The sequence below is a fragment of the Homo sapiens genome, chromosome 16 (genome assembly GCF_000001405.40).
Source record: "Homo sapiens chromosome 16, GRCh38.p14 Primary Assembly".
Taxonomy (NCBI): Eukaryota; Metazoa; Chordata; class Mammalia; order Primates; family Hominidae; genus Homo; species Homo sapiens.
The window spans coordinates 53,277,720-53,302,078 of record NC_000016.10 but is presented as its reverse complement, the minus strand read 5'-3'; the positions used below and the strand labels follow the sequence as shown (position 1 = coordinate 53,302,078).

The 24,359-nt window shown below is 38.9% G+C and overlaps 1 protein-coding gene and 2 pseudogenes across 43 annotated transcripts in view; 1 reads left to right on the top strand and 2 right to left on the bottom strand.

Moving 5' to 3' along the window:
* Nucleotides 1-24,359, bottom strand: part of CHD9 (chromodomain helicase DNA binding protein 9) — a 272,507-nt gene that overhangs the window by 25,419 nt on the left and 222,729 nt on the right. For all 43 annotated transcript variants that reach the window (XR_007064921.1, XM_047434707.1, XM_047434693.1 and 40 more), the window contains 6 exons: nucleotides 16,380-16,483; nucleotides 15,736-15,853; nucleotides 14,065-14,122; nucleotides 10,312-10,354; nucleotides 9,027-9,246; nucleotides 4,921-5,123 (listed from right to left, as the gene is read on the bottom strand). Coding sequence is in view for 42 of the 43 variants with exons in the window: in XM_047434707.1 (XP_047290663.1) it covers nucleotides 4,921-5,123; nucleotides 9,027-9,246; nucleotides 10,312-10,354; nucleotides 14,065-14,122; nucleotides 15,736-15,853; nucleotides 16,380-16,483 (746 nt within the window). In the remaining variant the exon portion in view is untranslated. The remainder of the gene's footprint in view (nucleotides 1-4,920; nucleotides 5,124-9,026; nucleotides 9,247-10,311; nucleotides 10,355-14,064; nucleotides 14,123-15,735; nucleotides 15,854-16,379; nucleotides 16,484-24,359) is intronic.
* Nucleotides 866-3,912, top strand: LOC100310835 (thyroid hormone receptor interactor 13 pseudogene; annotated as a pseudogene).
* LOC100421174 (thyroid hormone receptor interactor 13 pseudogene) lies at nucleotides 2,285-3,391 on the bottom strand (annotated as a pseudogene).

Below are 24,359 nucleotides of genomic sequence, written 5' to 3'. Positions count from 1 at the left end.
ACATTAAGAGAGGAAGGGCCAGGCGCAGTGGCTCATGCCTGCAATCCCAGTACTTTGGGAGGCCGAGGCGGGTGGATCATGAGGTCAGGAGATTGAGACCATCCTGGCTAACACGGTGAAACCCCGTCTCTACTAAAAACACAAAAATTAGCCGGGTGTGGTGGCAGCCACCTGTAGTCCCAGCTACTCGGGAGGCTGAGGCAGGAGAATGGCATGAACCCGGGGGCGGAGCTTGCAGTGAGCCGAGATCACGCCACTGCATACCAGCCTGGGCGACAGAGCGAGACTCCATCTCAAAAAAAAAAAAAAAAGAAAAAAAAGAAAGAGAGAGGAAGGGTGAGAGATAGATGGAAACTCCTCGTACATTTTTTGTACTCTTCTGTAATTTTAAAAGTAGTTCAAAACAAAAAAATTTGAAAAAAAATCAAGGACCATGCAAAAATCAATATGGAGCAGGAAACAAGGTGGGAAGAGCACAGTCTACTTCTAAGATTTGAAAAGTTATACAGTGCCCAACCAGTGCACACATTTGATTAATAATTGTGGCTACTTAAGAAACAGAAGTATTATTTTTTCTTTCAATATGTTATGTTTTTAAATAATTACTGGATTGTGAGGACATAAATACTTATTGAGTTGTCAGACCTAATTATTCATTAGACAGAAATGTTAGGTAATTCTTCTGGCCCTGAGTGCTGTGAAAAAAATTACTGAGACATTAAGGACACTGTAAAGTGTGGAAATTTGAGAAACGCTCTGAGTTAAGTAGAACCTCAACCTCACTCACATTTTTTTTTAACAAAGCATTAATATGAAATCTACTTTACATTTGATCTTAGCCAAAAGGCTAAGAGAAGCGATTGAAATTTATTTTAACATGACATAAAAGCAAAACATAATATTCTATAAAATACACCAATTATTGTCCCATTTATTTTATATTCTATTAATATGAATCATCATTTGAGATGTGAATAATGTTTTGTTTTGTTTTTTTTCTTTTTTTGAGACAGAGGCTTGCTCTGTTGCCCACGCTGGAGTGCAATGGTGCGATCTTGGCTCACTGCAACCTCCGCCTCCCAGGCTCAAGTGATTCTCGTGCCTCGACCTTCTGAATAGCTGGGATTATGGGTGCCTGCCACCATGCCTGGCTAATTTTTGTATTTTTAGTATAGACAAGGTTTCACCATGTTGCCCCACCTGCCTTGGCCTACCAAAATGTGGGGATTACAGGCGTGAGCCACCGCATCTGGCCTGAGATGTGAAAAATGTTATTGAACCAACAAAACAATGGGAAGAAATATCCAAGCAATGCATCTGTGCCTGCACTGGTTTATGAGGGATATCCAGCACTTGAACACTGCGGGTCTGCACTCTTCCTGCAAATGGAACCATGTTTGATTATTATAAAAGAACACTTACCTAGAATTTTCTCTCAATTTCTATTAACATAGAAATAGGTTTTTATTATCCATTAAAAAGTCTCCAAGCCATTTTTGCATTAATCAAGCTGACATCATAAAGCCATGCCACCTTCTAGCCTGAGTGATATGTTCATTTTTTAATGCTATGATTACATGCTTATTTAGGGTGATACAGTTCTGCTTCTATAATACCTATGTTAATCTTCCTTTTTTGAAAAAACCAAACTTGTGTAGCATTTTGTATCCATCAGTTGGAAGCAGGATGGCAATAAACACACTTAGGCAATTCTTTTTTTTTTTTTGAGACGGAGTCTCACCCTGTCACCTAGGCTGGAGTGCAATGGCACGATCTCAGCTCACTGCAATCTCCGCCTCCCAGGTTGAAGCGATTCTCCTGCCTCAGCCTCCCGAGTAGCTGGGATTACAGGTGCGTGCCACTACACCCGGCTAATTTTTTGTATCTTTAGTAGAGATGGGGTTTCGCCACGTTGGCCAGGCTGGTCTCGAACTCCTGACCTTGTGATCCGCCTGCCTCGGCCTCCCAAAGTGTTGGGATTACAGGCGTGAGCCACTGCGCTGGCCACACTGAGACAATTCTTAACAAAGACACCAACCATTTGAATTATCTTTTAACAACAGTTAAAATGACAAGGTGTTTGTCTTCTAATGTGCATTTTAAGCTAAAGTAAATGTAACACTTGTAACAAAGGTTGGTGTTGTAGGTTTCTGGCTTGTAGACAGACCTAAGCAAATTTTTATAGAGAGGATTTCCAGAGTGGTGGCTGTTGTGAGGCAAGTGATGTTACTTACTATTTGTGTGCTCTCCACTAGAAAGCTATGGAATGGGAAGCCCAGGACCAAATGTAAGCTGAAAGCTTCTTTTTTCTCTTCAACCTGCTTGTCCACGACCAGAGAGAAAGCCTGGTGTAGCCTGGACACACAGTGTATGCACCAGAAAAAGGAGTTTCCTCAGGAACTGGCCATGGAGGCCCTCGATCTTCTTTGAAATGTCACTCAAAAGGAAGCTCAATTTTGACACATTGTTTTCAATGAAGCCAATCATCTCCAGCTTTTGGAGGGTTAATAGCTGCTGAGGAGGGTATATGACCTGGCACTTGACCAGTTCTTCCAAACAGAAAACGTAAATTTTGAAGATGGCTGCTGCAGAGCGCAGACTGATATACTGCTTGATATCAGACCTGTCCACAAAGGCCATGTCAATCTTCACGGTGATGTTGGAAGTAGCTGGAATCACTACATTAAAATGCCTTTTAATCTGATTAATTTGGGTCAAGACAGCGTTGACCATGCCAATGGCACCCGATGGCTTTCATTATGGGTGGCTGTGAGACTTTCTATCTCATCAATCAGTGAAAATGCCAGAGCATCTTTATAATCAATCAAATCCTGAATCTTCTGGAACGTCTTAGTTATCAGCTTGTCAATTTCGGAAAACCGTTTAGAAAAGAGGTTAGGGCTATTTATTTCAATTAATTGGCCATACCAATACCTGCTTGAAAGTTTAATAGTCAATTTGTGGGCTAATGCTTTACATAGGAATGTTTTTCCAGTTCCTGGAGGACCCTGTAGCAGCACCACCTGGTTCCAGGTGCTGAGGCTGCTGTTGACATTCTTGTCTGAAAATGATAAGGTTGTAATCACATAATCAAGGTGTGATTTGATTTCCACATCAGACACTAGGCTGTTCCAAAGCCCATGGAATTTGGCTGTAGGCAGAACCCAGTGATTTGCCACAATTATATCTTCTGTCTCTTCCTCCAAATTTTCACTGCTAGGGCCACCTTCATTCTGCTGGAAGATGTGAAGTGCAATAGTGCACACACTCATCAATGAGCTATGGGGTCTTTAACTTTTAATTCTGTGTCGACAATAGAATCCCGCATGTTCCTGGACAGAAAGGGTTCACCAAACTCAGTCCATGTGTAGTCACCAAACACAGTACCATATGTTTGGTGAGTAGCTTTCTGTTTATTTATTTTAGGGACAAGGTCTTGCTCTGTTGCTCGAGATCAAGCGCAGTGGTGTCATCATGGGTCACTGCAGCCTCGACCTCCTGGCTCCTGTTCCTGGGTCCTGGGTCCTGCCTTCGCCTCTCAAGTAGCCAGGACCACAGCCATACACCACTACACGTGGCTGTTTTTTTATTTTTGTAGAGATGGGGTCTCCCTATGTTGCCCAGGCTTGTCTCAAACTCCTGGGCTCAAGTGATCCTCCTACCTTGGCCTCCCAAAGTGCTGGGATTACAGGCATGAGCCATTGTGCCCAGCCTGGTATCTTTCTAACACTCAGCTTTATGTCCTTTTTTTTTTTTTTGTAGTGCTGCCTCTGTGCTGATGCACCTCCATGTGGACTGTCCGCAACTTGGCCACGCAGGGCAGTGCCTGCTTTGAGTTGCTCATGGCCTTCCCCATGGTGCCACTGGAAGGAGTGGGGTCCTGGCCTGCGCCTGGCCACTGCCGCCTCATGCTCCTGCCTCCAATATCCTTACTCACATTTCTGAGGAAGCCCTACATTTTCAATGATTATTTAGTAGTTAGCTCTTTCCCTTTTAAAACTAGAATCAAAAGTGATGAATATATTCCTATCACTATATTATTGATGGGAATTAAGAAAATTTTTAAAAAATGAGGGCCTCTTGCCAACTACAAATGACACATTATTTTGCTTTAGCTGTCATTTTAACCTCATTTATGGTTTTCCAGTAGACCTGAAAACAGACTGAAATCTACTCTGAATTACCTAGTAATCAAGTGATTGGCTACTCCATTCAGTGAACTGACAAAAAATCTGTTAGGAAATACATTTAAAACAAGTAAGGAAATCTTTTTACTATAAAACAGGAATAGCAGGCCATTGGGTTTAGCAGTGAGAAATCATATACAACAAAGAATGGAGACAACTGTTCATGACATAGCATTACTGAGAGGAACTGTTGACAGGATGAGCTATGTCTCTGGGCTTTGAAGACAATGAAATGCATCCCAGAACAATTCCTTAGTTGAGTTGCATCAATGCCTCTGCTTAGTAGTCTTTTGTGAAGATGGCCCTGGGAGATCTTTTCTAGAAAATTCTTTAAAATGTCTTATGAGTGGGGGCTTCATTCCTTGCAAAATTATTCAGGTAAATAAACCCTCTAGCACAATTCCTATAAGATGGACTGAAAATATAGGTTAGTTCTGTTTAACAAAAGCAATCCTTTATCTTCCACCACCTCCTAATCATAAATCTATCACTAAACTCTACCTGTTTTCTTAAGACTCAGTGTATACCTTTATTCTCTTTAGATCTCGTTTTAATAGCAGGATTAACAAATACGCGATCTTTAAGCTAGTTTATTTATAATTCTAAAAAATTACTGACAAGTTGAATTAGATAGTATTGAAATTTCACATAAAAGAGACAAATTGGAAATTTCCGAATTTTAGTGATTTTTGCTTCTTTGACCGAAACCAGGAAAAAGAAATTTTATACATACCTTCTTTGGAAGGAAGACGACAAACCCTCCGACACATGGACATGAATGCGTACAAATATTTTTCCAAACTATCATCAGTTTTCTTATGTAGCCTAGCCATAGCTCTAAATTTTGTCCAATCAAATTGGCCTCTGTCAGGGTCAAAAACCACTCCAAATGTAGATACAACCCTATAAAAGTCAGCTTCTTCTCTTCTTGTCCATCTATTTTGAGTCAGATTAAAGAAAAAAACCACACTAGTCACTAAAATTAATATTAATACTAAATATAATGACTATAATACAAACTTAAAACATTTCAAGTACCTAACACTATAGGATTAAATACAAGCTTGCTGCCTTGTAAAACATTTTTAAATGCTAGTTAACTCATCTATCCAACCATACTTTTTTTTAGAAAAATTTACTTTTAATGGGTCGGGCGCGGTGGCTCATGCCTGTAATCCCAGCACTTTGGGAGGCCGAGGCGGGCGGATCGCAAGGTCAGGAGATAGAGACCATACTGGCTAACATGGTGAAACCCCGTCTCTATTAAAAAATACAAAAATAAAATTAGCTGGGCATGGTGGCGGGCGCCTGTAGTCCCAGCTGCTCAGGAGGCTGAGGCAGGAGAATGGCGTGAACCCAGGAGGTGGAGCTTGCAGTGAGCCGAGATTGTGCCACTGCACTCTAGCCTGGGCGACAGAGCGAGACTCTGTCTCAAAAAAAAAAAAAAAAAAAAAAAATTTACTTTTAATAGTTAAGGACAGCCTCAGGAGGTCCTGATGACATGTGTCCCCAAACATACTTTTAAAAGTATACACTATTCCTTCAGACAATAATGGTGTTTTGTATTTTTGCTATGTGAGAAAATCAGCACAGGATACAAAATCATGTAAGATGATCCTGCCCTTCAGGAAAAAGATAAAATCAAACACATTTATAGTATAAGGTAATACCTTATATTTGTATGAGTTAAAGAAACCAAAAGTTTCAGGAGAGCATAGAAGATAGAAGGATCAGTTCAGACTTGACAATCAAGAAAGGCATCACAGAGTAAGTGGCATTTCAGATGGGACGAGGCTAAGGTTAGGGAAAGTGAGGAAGAAAGCACAGAGTAAGCAAAGAGGGAGTGGTCCATATTGGAGGGGAAAGATGAGTATTCCAGATTGACAAGGTTATGGCTTATACTGGAGACAAAGCCATATAGGGTTTGGGTCAGATTATGAAATGCTCTAAAGGCCTGGGTAAAAGTAATCTCTTTCACTTGAAAGCTCCTGATGCTTTGAGATGGTAATATAATCATCATGCACCATAGATCTGCAAACCTTAGTGCAGGTGTAGAACCCTGTCCTTGCTTAACTCACAGGATTATTGTGTAAATTAGAAAAAACATATGGGACAGGCCTTTGAAAAATGTGAATGGGCCATTTTTATCATAGTGATACATTAAGAAGATTAATGTAATTATGATGTAAAAATAGTTAGCTTGGGAAACCCAAGTCATTAAATCTGGGTAATAAGAATAAAAATGGGAAAAACGATTAATTGAAAGACTACACAGGACACAAAAAATATGACAGAGTGCCCATCCCCAAGAAGATACAACTGAGAAAGATAGAAAGGAAAAGATGAATTTCATTACAATATCTTATATTATTGTGACAAACGAGTAGTTTACTTAGATAAGTTGCTATGTGAGTACAAAAAATAGAATACTGTGAGCTAGACTGGTTAAAAAAATTAATAGAAGAGGCCGAGTGCAGTGGCTCATGCCTGTAATCCCAGCACTTTGGGAGGCTGAGGCAGACGGACCACTTGAGGTCAGGAATTCAAGACAAGCCTGGCCAACATGGTGAAACCCAGTGTCTACTAAATATACAAAAATTAGCGAGGCATGGTGATGCACACCTGTAGTGCCAGCCACTCAGGAGGCCAAGGCAGGAGAATTGCTTGAACCCCGGAGGCAGAGGCTGCAGCGAGCCAAGATTGTGCCACTGTACTCCAGCTTGGGTGACAGAGGGAGACTCCGTCTCAAGAAAGAAAAAAAATTATTAGAGGAAATAGGCCATATGCTGAGCTCTGAGGGATGGGCTAAGTGTGAAATAAACAGGTAGAAAGGGTGTTCCAGGTGATAGAAACAATATAGGCTAGGGTATGAAGTCAAAAATAAGTAGGGCACTCTGGCTGAGGGAAAAGAAGTGGATAAAGTTTAGAAATGCATGTTAAAACCTAAAATGAAGAGACCTTCAAACTTAGGCTTAAGAACTTAACACTTTTTACCTATACTAAATAAGGAGCCATCAAATGTTATGATAAAACTAATATTTTAGGAAGATTAATCCAGATTCAACAGATGGAGGGAAAATTTGTAGTAGATTAAAGATGGTCACAAATGCTTTGCCACTCTTTCCATTAACGGGTAGAATCTATTTCCCTTTCCCCTAAATCTGGGCTGGCCTTGTGGCTTTTTCTGACCAACAGAGGGTGGCAAAAGTGACATTTTGTAACTACTGAGACTGGGTCATAAGAAATCTGCAGCTTCTGCCTTTCTACTTGGAATGGTCCCTCTTGGGATCTGAGCTCCCAGCTGGCAGCTAGCACCAACTGTTAGCCGTATGAATGAGGCAACTGTGGCTCTTCTAGGTATCTCAGAAACCCAGCCAACAGCATACAAAGCAGAAGCAGCACCTGGGTCAACTCACAGAATTGGGAGAAATAAAAAATTAATGCTGTTTTAAAGCATTGTGTTTTGGGGTAGTTTGTTATGCAACAATAGATAACAAAAACAGTTCATTTACAGAGGCGGTAGTATTTGAAAATTATGACTAAGATAGCTAAAATCTTAAGTGTCAGACTAAATTTTATGATCACTGTGCTGCAAATGAAACAACAAAAGAACAATATATCTTCCAGAGGACATCCAAGGACCCGGGTAACAAGGAAGTCAGGTTATGCCAAAGATAGCTATTCTTTTCCATGTACTCTATTCCTTTTAAGAAGTTAAAGCTTGTGGAATGAGAGAAGTTTGCCTGTCTTTTTAATAAGGTCGCTTGCGATTTGTTCCCTTTGACTTCAGTAGTTCCAAGGATTTGTCTTCTGAATAAAGGAACATATGCTTTCCATACGTTTTTATATTTCATAAAAGTCTGGATGTAAAATGTAAAATATGATAGAATGGAATTTAATTAACATAAACTTTTGTTCTACTGATAATTCTTTTTTTTTTTCTTTTGAGACGGTCTCACTCTGTCACTCAGGCTGGAGTTCAGTGGTATGATACTGGCTCACTGCAACCTCTGCCTCCTGGGATCAAGCGATTCTCATGCCTCAGCCTCCCAAGTAGCTGGGATTAAAGGTGCGTACCACACCTGGCTAATTTTTGTATTTTTAGTAGAGATGGGGTTTTGCCATGTTAGCGAGGCTGGTCTCGAACTCCTGGCCTCAAGTGATTCACCCACCTCGGCCTCCCAAAGTGCTGGGATTACAGGTGTGAGCCATGGCGCCCGGCCAGTGATTCAATTCATGAGTTTGCTCTATGCCTTCACTTTTTTGTTTCTACTTTTTGAGACCGTCTTGCTCTGTCACTTAGGCTGCAATGCAGTGGTACAATCACATCTCACTGCAGCACGGACCTTCTGGGCTCAGGTGATACTCCCACTTTAGTCTCCCGAGTGGCTGGGACCACAGGCATGCGCCACCACACCTGGCTAATTTTTGCATTTTTTGTAGAGATGAGGGTCTTGCTTTGTTGCCAGGGCTGGTCTCGAAATCCTGAGCTCAAGCACTCTTCCCACCTCGGCCTCCCAAAGTGCTGGGATTATAGGCATTAGCCACTGTGCCCAGTTATTTATTTATTTTTTTAAATACCTCAGTGTTCCTAAACATGACAAAAAAAATGATTACAGTATGGTTAGTCAACTATAAGACACAATAATCTTTATAAGTTTTACCACACTCATACATATATAAATGTGTGAGTATATGTGTGTATGTGCACAAAGCAGTTTGCTTTGACCAACATTCTATGTATGTTTTCCACAAAGCGTGATAATTGTACCCAGACAGGCTTTAGAATGAACAGCTACATTTAGACAATACATTAAAAATTTAGTGTTATTGTCTTACCTTTGCTGTCTTTCTATCTTGGCTGCCATTTTAGGATTAAGAGTGGCTTCCTCATAAATAGGCTGCATTACACTGGTAGGCACCGAGAAAGTCGGTTGTATCTGCTGAATTTGTCTGTTTTTATTAGTACGCTGGTATGCAGTGATGAGACGCCTCAAACGTGTGGTTAAAGCTGATTGAGTAGGCCAATATACTTTATCACCCTCCATCAGTTGACCATCTATAGTTAAATAAGTAATAGTAATAATAACTAAACAGATACTGTATGAAGCTCACAAAAGCAGCAACTTTACTTTAAAAATTTTTAATTCAATCTATGTGGGGAAAAAAAAACATATTTCTCATCCTAAAAGCTTCTTTTAACAATAGCTATAAGAAACATTACAACAAACTTTAAGAGCAGTTCAAAGTAGGTACAATACAGTGGAATAAAGATTTGCACAGCAAATACAACTCTTGCATGTCTAGGTATATATCACACTGGCTGGCAAATACTCAAGGCTTTAACTTAAATAAACTAAAAGCCAAACTGAATCCATGAGAGGCTGAATATTGTAAACGCTTCTAATGGAAGCCTTCTGTATTAAGTTTATCTCAGTTTAATTAGAATCAAAATATTTTAAGTCACTGGGAAGAAACATTTTCGAAGTTCAAGATGACAATGATGTAACTTTTAAGTTTTATCCACCTAGTAAGTATAGGATCTAATGCTCTATTTCTAAGGTGTAATACTATAATTATCTATACCATAATCAAGCTGTAGTCATTCATACTAAACAAAAACTACTTTTTCATTCCTAGTTGAACTATGGCAGGGTGAGGCACTGTTCCTCTGGGATGCTGGTGGGAGTGAGTGTACTCTTGTGACAGTGCATTTCTATCTTGATATCAGAAGGAAGTAGAAGCAAGACCTGGCACAGAAAAGCTTTGTAGAAACTAGGTGATAAAGAATGGCTCTTAATGTACACATAGAATGAAAAAGAAGTTGAATATATTGGATCAACACTTTAATGATGAAATCTCACATACAAGTTTAATAGTCAAGTCATAATGTCATCAAAACCTATGTTCTATAAAAGCTCAGTGAGTCACTGCCTGAAGATTCATAACCACTAAAAGTAGTTAAATTCCCAGTCAACTAGTATGTCCTATAACGATTACAATGGCAGTCAATAAAAATTTTTATATATGAAACATTATAAAAGTGTAATAGTTTACTGATCTCATGGTATGATTAGAATGTGAATTTACAATAATACTAAGTACAGAAGTACGTGCAATTTACCTCCATCTGCTATAACAAGATCTCCTGGTGAGGAAACATCATCCTTTTAAAAGAAAATAGAAACTTGTCACAGGGTAATTGGGTCAAGAGATATATAAAAAAAGAAAAGAGAATCAAACTTCTTTATAACAGAGAGCTTTTCTCCCCCAATGGAATGTTAAATAATTAATTTAGCAAAAATAAAACTTTCAACTGCTTATTCTCAATTCTCATCCTTTCACACTTCTCTATTGCTTTTGACAATTAGACAGTCATTATTTACTAAAAGTATTTCCTTTTCTATGATTACTGTTAAGCTAGTTTCTTTTCCTCCAACCTTCCTCTAACTATGGGTATGCCCTAGGTTTTATTGCTAACTAAGTGTGTTTTTTTCCCCTTTCTTATACCAACTCTTAGATAACTTATTCATTTTCATATCTGGTTATTAGGTAACCTACAAATCTTTTCCTTTTTAGCTTTAAGCAGTTTGCTTGTGCTGAAGATTCAGTTTTTGTCAACAGAGCATCTTTAATTAGCTATTCCAATATTACCTTATATTCATAACTTTAGCAATTTTATATCAATGACTACTAGTTTCTATTGTTGTTTTAAAAAAGCCTGAAGTTAGAATCATAATTCCTTTGTGGGTATCTCTTTTTCTCTGGTTGCTTTTAATATCTTCTCTTTGTTTGGTGTATCTTCAATTTCACCATGATGTTTCTTGGAGTGGACTTAGTTTTATTTATCCTGCCAAGACTTATTTTATTTCTTGAAACTGAGGATTCATGTATTCATAACATCTGAAAAATTCTCAGCTGCTATCTCTTCATAGTGCTTCTTTCTTATTGTCTCTAGTCTCTCCTTCTGGAATACCTACTCGATACATGCCAGATGTTATCATGCTATCCTCCTTGTTTCTAAATTTTTTAATACATATTCCACTGTGGTGGTTATTGATTTCAGTCTCTTTGCTCCAAATTTATTGCCTTTCATATTTTTCTTTTGTTTTTCGAGACAGGGTCTCACTGTGTTGTCCAGGCTGGAGTGCAGTGGCGTGAACACACCTCACTGCAGCCTCAACCTTTCGGGCTCAAGCGATCCTCCTGCTTCAGCCTCCTGAGTAGCTGGGACTACAAGCAAATGTCATCTTTTTTTTATTTGTTGTAGGGATGCAGTCTCACTGTGTTGCCCAGGCTGGCCTTGAACTCCTGGGCTCAAGCAATCTCTGTTCCTTGGCCTCCCAAAGTGCTGGATTACAGGCATGAGCCACTGCATCCAGCTCCTCTCATACTTTTTTTTTTTTGCCTGCTCTAAGAAAATAGTTAAACAGCTCTTTAAATAGTTTTTCCTCTGTCAGTCAGCATGATATAAAGCTTTGTTAGTACAGCAAACCAGAGAGACACTGTAGAGGAAAAGGGTTTTACGTCCTAATTCTGGTGATCACCTCCATTGCTTAGCTCCCATAGCAAGGCCACTTCCCCAGTACCCAGCTCCCACAATTTGAGCAGTTTCTTTTTTTTGAGACAGGTCTCCCTCTATCACCCAGGAGTGCAGTGGCACAATCTCAGCTCACTGCAACCTCCGCCTCCTGGCTTCAAGTGATTCTCCTGCCTCAGCCTCCCAAGTAGCTGGGATTACAGGTACATGCCACCATGCCTGGCTAATTTTTGTATATTTAGTAGAGATTGGGTTTCACCATGTTGGCCAGGCTGGTCTTGAACTCCTGAACTCAAATGATCCACCCACCTTGGCCTCCCAAAGTGCTGGGATTACAGGCATGAGCCACTGTGCCTGGTCAATTTGAGCAGTTTCTTTAGCACTCTTGGTCAGCAGCTTTTCCCAGTAACCTCCCTCTTGAGTGGTTTTGTGAGTGAAGTGCTTCCAGTGAGACACTTTCCCAGGAAAATCTTCCTTGGCAACCTTACAGGGCAGATTTACAGCCAGTTTCAACGGGTAGCTTTTTAGCAACTTTTCTGCCATCCAGTGAGACATGGCCATATCCTCCTACCAAAGTCTGGATCTTGGCACTGATAGGGATGGGACTCTTCCTTGGGAGCTTTATCTGAGCCCTAGGAGTGGTAGATGCTGCTTTTATATGCTATTCCTATATTCTTTAATGTAGTCTTTATTTTTTACTAATCTATTACTATAGTATAATTAATAATTCTTTACATTATACATTTCCTGTTCAAATGACTATTTGGGTTATCTCTCCTGATTGGTCCAGACGAATCCATTATGCTATACTGGATAATTTCCTCACATCTGTTTTCCAAATCATTTCTCCCTTTATGAACTGTGTCTTATCTGCTTTTCCAGGAGAATGTTTAACCTGTTTGTTGACTTTTACATATCAATAAATGTATTTTCCACATTTTTCTTTCTCTCTCTCTTTTTTTAGAGATGGGGTCCCATTATATTGCTCAGGTTGGTCTTGAACTCCTGGGCTCAAGTGATCCTCCCACCTTACCCTCCAAAGTGCTGGGATTACAGGCGTGAGCCACACTGCCCTCAGCCTTTTCCCACTTTTAAAGTTAAATATCATCTTTTTCACATCTTTCTAGTATTTTAAAATCATATCTTGTCTTTTGTTCCTGGTTCTTTCTTTAATGTCTTTAATCATTTACAAATTTACTTTAAAAAATTTCAATAGGAATTTTTTTATTTCAGTAGATACATCAGAAATTCTCAGGGGTCTAATCTTACTCTTTATTGCATGCTAACATTCACTCATGGTAAATGGTTTCTCATATATTTTTAAACTTGGGGTTTTTACTTCATTTTATGCAGGGCTTCATCTTCGGGACTCGTGCATAGTCAGGGTTGAACTGTTTCTTACAGGTGCTTTTTGTTTTTACCAGGCACCCTAGATATATTACCAGTAAAGGACTGATCCTTTTTTATATTACACTGAGGGCTCTTGGACCACACAGATAAAGTAAAAGACAAATCACGAACTCAAGAGAAGGTGGGTCTATGGTTACAAATTCTCAAGGGAAACAATAATTTTCTTACCCAAAGTCCGTGATGAGATAAATTTCCTTGCTATTTCTCCGTGCTGTTTGTCAGTAATTACTGGCCTTTGAGACTCTTGACCTCATATAGGATTTTGGTTTTCATTGCCCACACACTGGAGCAAGCCTTGTCTCATGCCCTCATCAAGGCATCAAGCCCCTTAGCTACCAAGTCCAGCAAATCCTACCTGACAGCTTTAGCGTCATTTAGCCTTTTACCACACTCTCATAAATATTAGACATTCCTCATCTCTTTTAAAATCCTTTTCCCCACTCTACAGATTATTTTCTGTACTTTCATCCAACTCTTCTTCCTTTTGACATTCTACAAACAGAGCACTGAGAACTATGCTTTGGCAACTCAGAATTCCTTGATGCTCTACCCTCTATCTCAAACCTCTTCATGTAGGTATAGTTTCTAACTCTTGCAGTATATCTTTAGTATCTAGTTCTCACTCTCCTTTGGGATTTTGCCCTTGGACACTGTGTTTCTTAGCTCTAAGAAGTAGAGCAGGTGGGCAAGCCCCATTGCATCCACATGTCCAAGCCAGCCCCCATCTTGTCTAAAAGGGGAGATCAGGTGAATTCTGAGTGATTATTTGAGATGTTTGTCAACCCAAGTTGATCACTTACTTAGCTAATCTGAGGAACAGAAGAATTATGTATAATGAAAACAAAATATAATGCAAAAGAAAAAGCAAACACAAGAAACCAAAGAATACCTAAAATTGAGGATTTAAAAATATGATCCAATGCATACCTCTATATCATCTTTAAAGATGGCTGGGGCAGGTTTGTATTCTGGATCTTCCACATCCCTGTTAAAATACAAACAAATGCTATAATTACTGTAATGGACTTAAGATTTCACTTGATAGGACAAAGTCTTGTTGGAGGGTTTTAGTTTGTTTTAAAAGTCAGACTGACGTCTCTTCTCTAGCCAGAAGAGCCCAAGACACAGCAGGAAGGCTGTTATAAAGCAAATAGGGAGAAAGCTAGTTCTAATGTACCCTTACTCACAAGTTCACTTTTATTTTTATTTTTTTTGAGACGGAGTTTCACTCTTGTCGCCCAGGCCGGAGTGCGGTGGCACAATCTCAGCTCACTGCAACCTCCACCTCCCGGGTTCAAGAGATTCTCCTGCCTCAGCCTCCCGAGTAGCTGGGACTACAGGTACATGCCACCACACCTGGCTAATTCTGTATCTTTAGTAGAGACGGGGTTTCACCATGTTGGCCAGGCTGGTCTCGAACTCCTGACCTCAAATGATCCACCTGCCTTGGCCTCCCAAAGTGCTGGGATTACAGGCGTGAGCAAGTGCATCCAGCCGCGAGTTCGCTTTTAAATGCATTATTATTAACCACAAAGTGTTCCTTACTTTTCTCTTTGGGTAAGAAAAGACAGATTACATAAGGCCTTAAAACAGGTACAGTTGGCCTTTCGTTATGTGTGGGTTTCATATCTATAAATTCAACCAATTTCAGTTTGAAAATATGCGAAAAAAGCTGGTCCATGATGGCTCACACCTATAATCTCCGCACTTTGGGAAGCCAAGGCTAAGGTGGAAGATCACTTGGGCCCAGGAGTTCAAGACCAGCATGTGCAACACAGGGAGACCTCATCTCTACAAAAAATAAAATACAAGAAAATTAGCTGGGCATGGTGGCATGTGCCTGTGGTCCCAGATACTCAGGAGACTAAGTGGGAGGATCACTAGAGCCTGGGAGGTCAAGGCTGCAGTAAGACATGATTGTGCCATTGCATTCCAGCCTAGATGACAGAGCAAGACCCTGTCTCAAGAAAATATCTGGAAAAAAATGGCATCTGTACTGAACATGTACAGACTTTTTTTTTTGTCATTACTCCCTTAACAATTCAGTATAGCAACTATTTACATAGCATACAGCATATATATTGTACTATGAATTATAAATAATCTAAAGATAGTTTAAAGCATACGGGAGAATGTGCATAGGTTAAATGCAAATCCTATGCAATTTTATATATAGGACTAGAGCATCCTTGGATTTTGGTATCTGCAGGGTGTCCTGAATACCAAAATCCCCCATGGATATTGAGGGATGACTATGTAATAAATGTCATCATATGTCTCATCAACTATAACATTCTTGCCTTTTTCTCCCCCTATGCCCCTAGAAGTTTATGAACTCAGTGGCCATGATATAGCTGTTAAAATGAAAGAAATGAAAAACTCATCAAAAGAATGGGTGTGGGGCAGGTCCAACCTCTTCCTCGATCACATTCTGTTGGATAAGTGCTAACCTATTAGGGTATCTTTAGCTCTTTCAGATTGTAAACTCCAATTCCCTTACTGCTACCTCATTTAAAGATAAATAGTGTGACATAGAATATGCTGATATTGAATAGAAGAGAGATATATAGAAAATTCATGACTCTGAAACACACATACCCATCCATATAATCATTCGCTCTCTGTTCAGCAGCAACTGCTTTCTCATCAGGTTTTCCCACTCTTTCCAAGAAGCATAATGCTGGGTCTGCTCGAATAGTGTTATATTTTTCATATCCTGAAAACATCACCAATTACAAAAGTAAAAAAGATAAAAAGAAGAAAGGTGTATACATATAAGCATTCCTCGTATTTACAGTGGATGATATTTCTGGACTAAAGGGATAATACATTAAAATGATATAGGTTAAGTATGTTTTCTAGAAATTATCACAAACATTAAATGATCTGGTAATAGATATCTACTAAAGTAAAATTTCAGTTACATTTATCAGTTAATATGAGAAATAGGATAAACTGATCATACCCACACACAAACACACAAACATATCTCACATGAGAACTCTTCCTGAGAGAGGAAGTTGTCTTAGATTTACATCCAGGAAGGGTAGGTTACACATGCCACCCTCCCACGAGGTAATGTGGTGACTGACAGACATAGTTTGGTAGTGTATGCTTTTAATTCTGTATATATAACATAGATGTTACTGGAATAAAGCTGTAAGTGGAAATCAATGAACTGAGAACTGACAGAACTGCCTTATACATAGAAGGGGATCTCACCTACCTTACTTCTTACTTACCATGTTTAAAAACTCCAATAAGGAGTGACTTATCAGCATCAAAATCCCACCACTCAGCAGGAACTTCTGAGTGGTCTGGTTCTGGTACCCAAACATCAATGTCACTTTAAAAAAATCATAATATGGCATTATGAATTATTATAAATGAGTCAAAAAGGAGGCAAAATTTTACCTAGCTTTTAAAGCACTGTGGCTTTCAAGAGAGAGCTTAGGATTTCATTATTTTTTAATCCTTCATAATTGCCACCAATTAAAATTACGAAATTGTGCAATAACAAAGATACCATAAAATAAACGAACATTGTTAAGCTCAAGAGAAGAAATAAGTTTCAACAATGTTACTAAACAATTTTCTTAAAGAATCATATTCTTTCACTGATTTTCTTTATTTAGAGACAAAGGGTTCTATTGGAAGTAGAGACTATGTCAGCCAACAACTTGGCAATAATCATCTGGTTCAATTATTTCATTTCGCACATGAGAAAACTGAGGCCCTAAAAGGGTAAATGAATTGTTTTAGGCTGCAGAACAAGTAATAGCTCCTCTAGACCACTATTGCTAAGAAAACCACACTGAAAATGCCCTGTAATAGCAAATTTTTGATTCATAATTTGATTGAAACACTCAAGTGTAGGCCAAACACAGTGGCTCATGTATGTAATCCCAACACTTTAGGGGGCAGAGGCGGGTAGATCACTTGAACCCAGGAGTACAAGACCAGCCTGGGCAACGTGGCAAAACCCCATCTCCACTAAAAATACAAAAAATTAGCTGGGCGTGGTGGTGCACACCTGTAGTCTCAGCTACTTGGGAGGCTGAGGTGGGAAAATCTCCTGAGCCTGGGAAGTTGGGGTGACAGCAAACCAAGATCGTGTTGCTGCACTCCAACCCAGGCCGCGGGAATGAGACCCTGTCTCGAAAAACAAAAAACACTCAAATGCTGTTTTGATGTTGTAAATAAATAATAGAATGCCATAAAATCACAATAGATTACTAAAAAGTAAAATAATAAACCCATAATGATTTGATTTTGTAGATTGACTGATTTTATAAGTAACAAATAACTACTAGAATGGGCAATTTTGCAACTATAATTTTCTTATTCTTTGCTCGTCACTTGAAATTATTATTTTCCCAGAAAGCTTTGGCAAGTTACATATATAACATGTCTAAAAACATGTCATGTATAGAAGGACTGAAATGTTCACTTCTTTACCACAGTGATTCAAGTCATTTTCTTTAGCACAGAATACAGTTAATATCTGACAATGATTAAGTATCAATTTATATACACACAACTATATATTTATATATACATACACAAATATGTATATTATATATATATATACACACACACACATTTTCTTATATTTGACAATGGATAGAGATTGAACAGGATAAATTACTACAAAAAGTTGAATAGCTGAGAATTTCTCTATTTGGTATTCATAAATTATCAACTTTCAAATAACCAGAGATATAAAACAATATAAATTATACAAAGTAGAATTTCATCTGTCTTGGCATCATTATTTCACAAATTAGTTAACAAAGACCTATAAGAAATGGGGGATTTCCTATTGACAAGTTCTGTGGGAAAAGTTAGATTCTAAGTTGGCTGTCTTTGGAAACTCAAATTTTTATATAAAAATAAACAAACAAGTGATCGACATGTTCCTAGGACAAGAACCCAGTATGTAATCAAAATATAGGTGAGATAGAAGACAATGGCAGTGAAAAGGAAATACTTATACCTTTTATAATTAAAAAAATGGAAACAAATTTATTTGTCACAAATTTTTAACTCAAGAAGCATAAGGAAGTGGATGAAGAGATCTTTCTGTAGATTCTTGAACGAATTTGTCAGCACTCGAAATGAACACCTTATTATATCTAATTTTGCTTTAAAACAAAAGGGTCACAATTGACATTTTTTAGCTCAGTTTAGAAAAATAGAGAAAAAGGAGGAATAATTTTCTTGTAATATGGAAAAAGTTAAAAAAGAAATGAGAAATACAGTAAAAAGAGATATTTATTTTTGAACGAGTTATTAAGTAGGATTAAACAAAGCATTAGCCCTGAAATATAAAGGAAACAGGAAAGAACACTGGAAACAGAATCCCAGAGGAGAAAAAAAGTGGGTCAGATAGCTCCCTTTGCCAACCATAAGATGGCACTCTAAGCTCAAAACATTGTGATTACCATCTGAGGTGGAAGGTTTTCCTGCTTGTAAAGAGGAAAAGGCAATCAGCATACAAAACTCATGTTTCAAATGTAAGTGCCATAAGCACATTAGGTGTTGCTGATTTCTGTTTTTAAAGACTAACTTGTGTCATCTCTTGCATAAAGCCTCCTTTAACTTCCCCAGGGTAGATCATTCATTCAAAATATATTTAAACAGAATTCACTACATGCCAATAATGGCAATAATAAATTAAGATAGTCATGCACATGCCCTTGTAAAGATGGACATGCAATACTGTGTGATGAGTGCTGTGGCAGGGTACTCTGGTTATGTGCCTAACCCAGATCTGAGAGGTTATGAAAGGCTGAGTCAATGTTGGCTGAGCAGGAAGAGGAAGAGAATGGAAAAAAGGAGGAAAGAATGTTCCAACAATAATGCAAAGGCCTGGAGAGAAGAGTAACTAATCATGGCCCATTGGAGAAATGTGGATCTAAAGTTCAGAAGAGAGACATGGGCTACAGATAGGGATTTGGAAGACATAAGCATAGAGACAAAAATTGAAGCCACAAAGATGAGAACACCCAAGAAGAGTAAGTGACGAGAAGGCCTATGTGAAGATTCTTTGACCTCTAAGAGACAGAAAACATGCCTGAAAAGCAGCAAGCAGAAAGGTAAAAAGAAAAACCACAGGAGAATGGTATCACAGAAGCATTTTAAAAAGAAGGAAGTGGTCAACAAAGGTAAAGTAAGGTAAGCACTATGGTATATCCATCAAATTTGGCAGCAAGAATATCAGCGAACATCTGGGGTGAGGAGGTAGAAGCTGCATTGTGGTAGATTGCATAGTGAATGGAAGGGAAGAAAAAGAAGACAACAAACATAGATGCTTCTTTCTTTTCTGTTTTTTTGAGACAGTGTCTCATTCTGTCACCCAGGCTGGTGTGCAGTGGTGCAATCACAGCTCACTGCAGCCTTGACCTCTCTGGGCTTATGTGATCCTCCCACCTCTGCCTCCAGAGTAGCTGGGACTACAGGCATGCACTACCGCACCTAGCCAATTTTTCTACTTTTTGTAGAGACAGGGTTTCGCCATGTTGCCAAGGCTCATCTCAAACTCCCGGGCTCAACTGATCCACTTGCCACGGCCTTAAGTGCTGGGATTACAGGACTGGTCACTGTGAACCCCTTACAGATGCTTCCTAACATAAATTTGGCAGTGAAATCAAGGAGAGTAATAATATGGTAGTTTGAAGATATTTTGGGTCCAAAAGCATTAAGTGTTGTTGTGTGCACGCATGTGTGTATGTGTAAGTTAAGGTGACAGAGATGTAAACATGTTAAAATCCAAATGAGAAGGAAAAGGGGGAAAATTACTGAAAGAGGAAAAAGAAGGTACAATCCACAGAGAGCAGTCCCTGGGAAAATTACAAGTGGATCAGATCCAGTCAGGCTAGGGGAAAGGAGCCAATTAGTTGACAAATATTTACTGAGTGTTTAAGATGTCCCAGATTCCATACTTACCTTCAAGCAGCTTAAATTGTAATGAAAGAAAGAAGATATACAAATTAACGTAATTTTTAAGTAGTGGTAGGCATTATAAATGAAATAAAAGAAGGTTAAGTAGTAGTGAATGACTGGTGGGCTACTTAAGCTGAGGTTGGCAGGGAAGGTCTATCTGAGAAGGAAATACTTGAGTTGAGATCCGAGTAATCTGAAGGGGCGGTTCTGTGGAAGTCCTGGGGAAAGAATATTTGGACCAGGAAGAACAGCATAGAATGAGCTTGACAGGTTGGCAAAACACAACCACCACTGTGGCTGGAGCATGGTGGGTGAGGGACACAGTAAAGAAAGTACGTACAGAGTTATGGAGGCCCTTGTAGGTCATATGGAATTTGAATTTTATTCTAAGAGAAATTAGAAACATCTGGAGGGTGTTAAGGAGTGCCAAGACCTGATTTTTGCTTTAGAAATACCACTCTGGCTGCTGTGTGAAGGACAGGCCTAGAGAGGCAAAAGTGGAGGAAAACAGAATCAGTTACGAGGCCATTGCAAAAGTCTAACTGTGAGATCATGGCAGCTTGGACTAGGGATTTGGCAGAGGAGATAGTACTGAAAGGTACTCAGATTTGGCATGTATTTTGTCAAGCTAACAGGGAAGAGAGGAATCAAGAATAACAACAGAGCAATGGGTTGTATATTTACTAGGATGGAGAAGGCTTGTACATGGGAAGGAAAAGAGAAAGGACTGGAGACAGGAGATTTGGAAAAGCCAGGGAAAGTAAGATGTTGGTCATTTAAGTGGAAATGTTGGGAGGCAGTTGACTAATGGCTTCAAACTCAAGAAAGAGTTCTGGGAGAAATATGTAAATTTCAGATTTACCTGTTTATAGATCATATTTGGTATGATGAGGCTGCATGAGTTCACCTAAGGAAAAAGGTAAGAGAGCTGAGGACGGAGCTCTTGGTCAATCCAGTATTTAGAGATCTATTAGAGAAGTAAGAGCTAGCAAGAGGGAATGAAAAGGAAAGAGTAGTGAGAAAAAGGACAACCAGATGGGTATAGTTAGCATAAATGCCTACAGAAGACAGCATCTTATGGAGGACGAGGGAGTAAATTTGGAGAGTTGATCACACTGTAGGTCATTAGGGGCCGTGTTAAGAACCACTTTAGTGAGACCCCGAAGAAGAAAGATCCATTGGAATGGGTTAAATAGAAAATGCAAGATAAAGAAGTAGAGATAGTAAATGTAGGCAATCTTTTTTGTTGTTGTCTGAATCTTTGCTCTGCCATTTTTATCTGGGTAACCTTAGACAAATTTCTTTTTTTTTTTTTAAATTGTATTTCCATAGGTTTTTGGAGAACAGGTGGTATTTGGTTACATGAGTAAGTTCTTTAGTGGTGATTTGTGAGATTTTGGTGCACCCATCTCCCGAGCAGTATACACCGCACCCAATTTGTAGTCTTTTATCCCGAACCCCCTTCCTGCCCTTTCCCCCCTGAGTCCCCATAGTGTACTGTCTTTCTTATGTCTTTGCATCCTCATAGCTTAGCTTCCACTTATGAGAACATATAACGTTTGGTTTTTCCATTCCTGAGTTACTTCACTTAGAATAATAGTCTCCTATCCCCCAAGGTTGCTGCAAATGCCATTAATCCATTCCTTTTTATGGCTGAGTAGTATTCCATCATATATACATATATACCACAGTTTCTTTATCCATTCGTTGATTGATGGGCATTTGGGTTGGTTCCACGTTTTTTGCAATTGCAAACTGTGCTGCTATAAACATGTGTGAGCAAGTATGTTTTTAATATAATGACTTCTTTTCCTCTGGGTAAATACCCAGTAGTGGGATAGCTGGATCAAATGGTAGTTATACTTTTATCTCTTTAAGGAATCTCCACGCTGTTTTCCATAGTGGTTGTACTAGCTTATATTCCCACCAGAAGTGTAGAAGTGTTTTGTTCACTACATCCATACCAACATCTATTATTTTTTGATTTTTTGATTATGACCATTCTTGCAGGAGTAAGGCAGTATCACATTGTGGTTTTGATTTGCATTTCCCTGATCATTAGCGATATTGGGCATTTTTTCTTATGTTTGTTGACCACTTGTACATGTTCTTTTGAGAATTGTCTATTTGTGTCCTTAGCCCACTTTTTGATGGAACTTTTCTTTTTTTTCTAATTTGAGTTTGTTGTGTAGATTCTGGATATTAGTAGTCCTTTGTCAGATGTACAGATTATGAAGATTTTTTCCCACTCTGTGGGTTGTCTGTTTACTCTGCTGACTGTTCCTTTTGCCATGCAAAAGCTCTTTAGTTTAATTAAGTCCCAGCTATTTATCTTTGTTTTTACTGCAATTGCTTTTGGGTCCTTAGTCATGAAATCCTTGCCTAAGCCAATGTCTAGAAGGGTTTTTCCAATGTTATCTTCTAGAATTTTTATAGTTTCAGGTCTTAGATTTAAGTCCATGATCCATCTCTAGTTGATTTTTATTATTATACTTCAAGTTCTAGGGTACATGTGCACAACGTGCAGATTTGTTACATATGTATACATGTGCCATGTTGGTGTACTGCACCCATTAACTCGTCATTTACATTAGGTATATCTCCTAATGCTATCCCTCCCCCTTACCCCCCACCCCACGACAGGCCCCAGTGTGTGATGTTCCCCTTCCTGTGTCCAAGTGTTCTCATTGTTCAATTCCTACCTATGAGTGAGAACATGTGGTGTTTGGTTTTTTTGTCCTTGTGATAGTTTGCTGAGAATGATGGTTTCCAGCTTCATCCATGTCCCTACAAAGAACATGAACTCATCATTTTTTATGGCTGCATAGTATTCCATGGTGTATATGTGCCACATTTTCTTAATCCAATCTATCACTGATGGACATTTGGGTTGGTTCCAAGTCTCTGCTGTTGTGAATAGTGCCGCAATATACGTACGTGTGCATGTGTCTTTATAGCAGCATGTTTTATAATCCTTTGGGTATATACCCAGTAATGGGATGGCTGGGTCAAATGGTATTTCTAGTTCTAGATCCTTGAGGAATCGCCACACTGTCTTCCACAATGGTTGAAGTAGTTTACAGTCCCACCAACAGTGTAAAAGTGTTCCTATTTCTCCACATCCTCTCCAGCACCTGTTGTTTCCTGACTTTTTAATGATCGCCATTCTAACTGGTGTGAGATGGTATCTCATTGTGGTTTTGATTTGCATTTCTCTGATGGCCAGTGATGATGAGCATTTTTTCATGTGTCTGTTGGCTGCATAAATGTCTTCTTTTGAGAAGTGTCTGTTCATATCCTTCTCCCACTTGTTGATGGGGTTGCTTTTTTCTTGTAAATTTGTTTGAGTTCATTGTAGATTCTGGATATTAGCCCTTTGTCAGATAAGTAGATTGCATTTTTGTATAAGGTGAGAAAAGAGGATCCAGTTTCATTCGCCTACATGTGGCTTGCCAATTATCCCAGCACCATTTGTTGAATAGGGTGTCTTTTCCCCACTTTATGTTTTTGTTTGCTTTGTTGAAGATCAGTTGGCTGTGTTTGGCTTTATTTCTTGGTTCTCTATTCTGTTCCATTGGTCTGTGTGCCTATTTTCATACCAGTACCATGCTGTTTTGGTGACTATGGCCTGATAGTACAACTTGAAATCAGGTAATGTGATGCCTCCTGATTTGTTCTTTTGGCTTAGTCTTGCTTTGGCTATGCAGGCTCTTTTTTCATTCCATATGAATTTTAGGACTGTTTTTCTCTAGTTCTGTGAAGAATGATGGTGGTATTTTGATAGGAATTGCACTGAATTTGTAGATTGCTTTTGGCAGTATGGCCATTTTCACAATATTGATTCTACCCACCCATGAGCATGGGATGTGTTTCCATTTATTTGTGTCATCTACGATTTCTTTCAGGAGTGTTTTGTAGTTTTCCTTGTAGAGAGCTTTCACGTCCTTGGTTAGGTATATTCCTAAGTACCTTTTTTTTTTTTCTGGCTATTGTAGAAGGAGTTGAGTTCTTGATTTAATTCTCAGCTTGGTCGCTGCTGGTGTACAGGAGAGCTACTGATTTGTGTACATTAATTTTGTATCCTGAAACTTTGCTGAATTCTTTTATCAGTTCTAGGAGCTTTTTGGAGGAGTCTTTAGGGTTTTCTAGGTATACAATCATATCATCAGCAAACAGCAACAATTTGACATCCTCTTTACCAATTTGGATGCCCTTTCTTTCTCTTGTCTGATTGCTCTGGCTAGGACTTCCAGTACTATGTTGATCAGAAGTGGTGA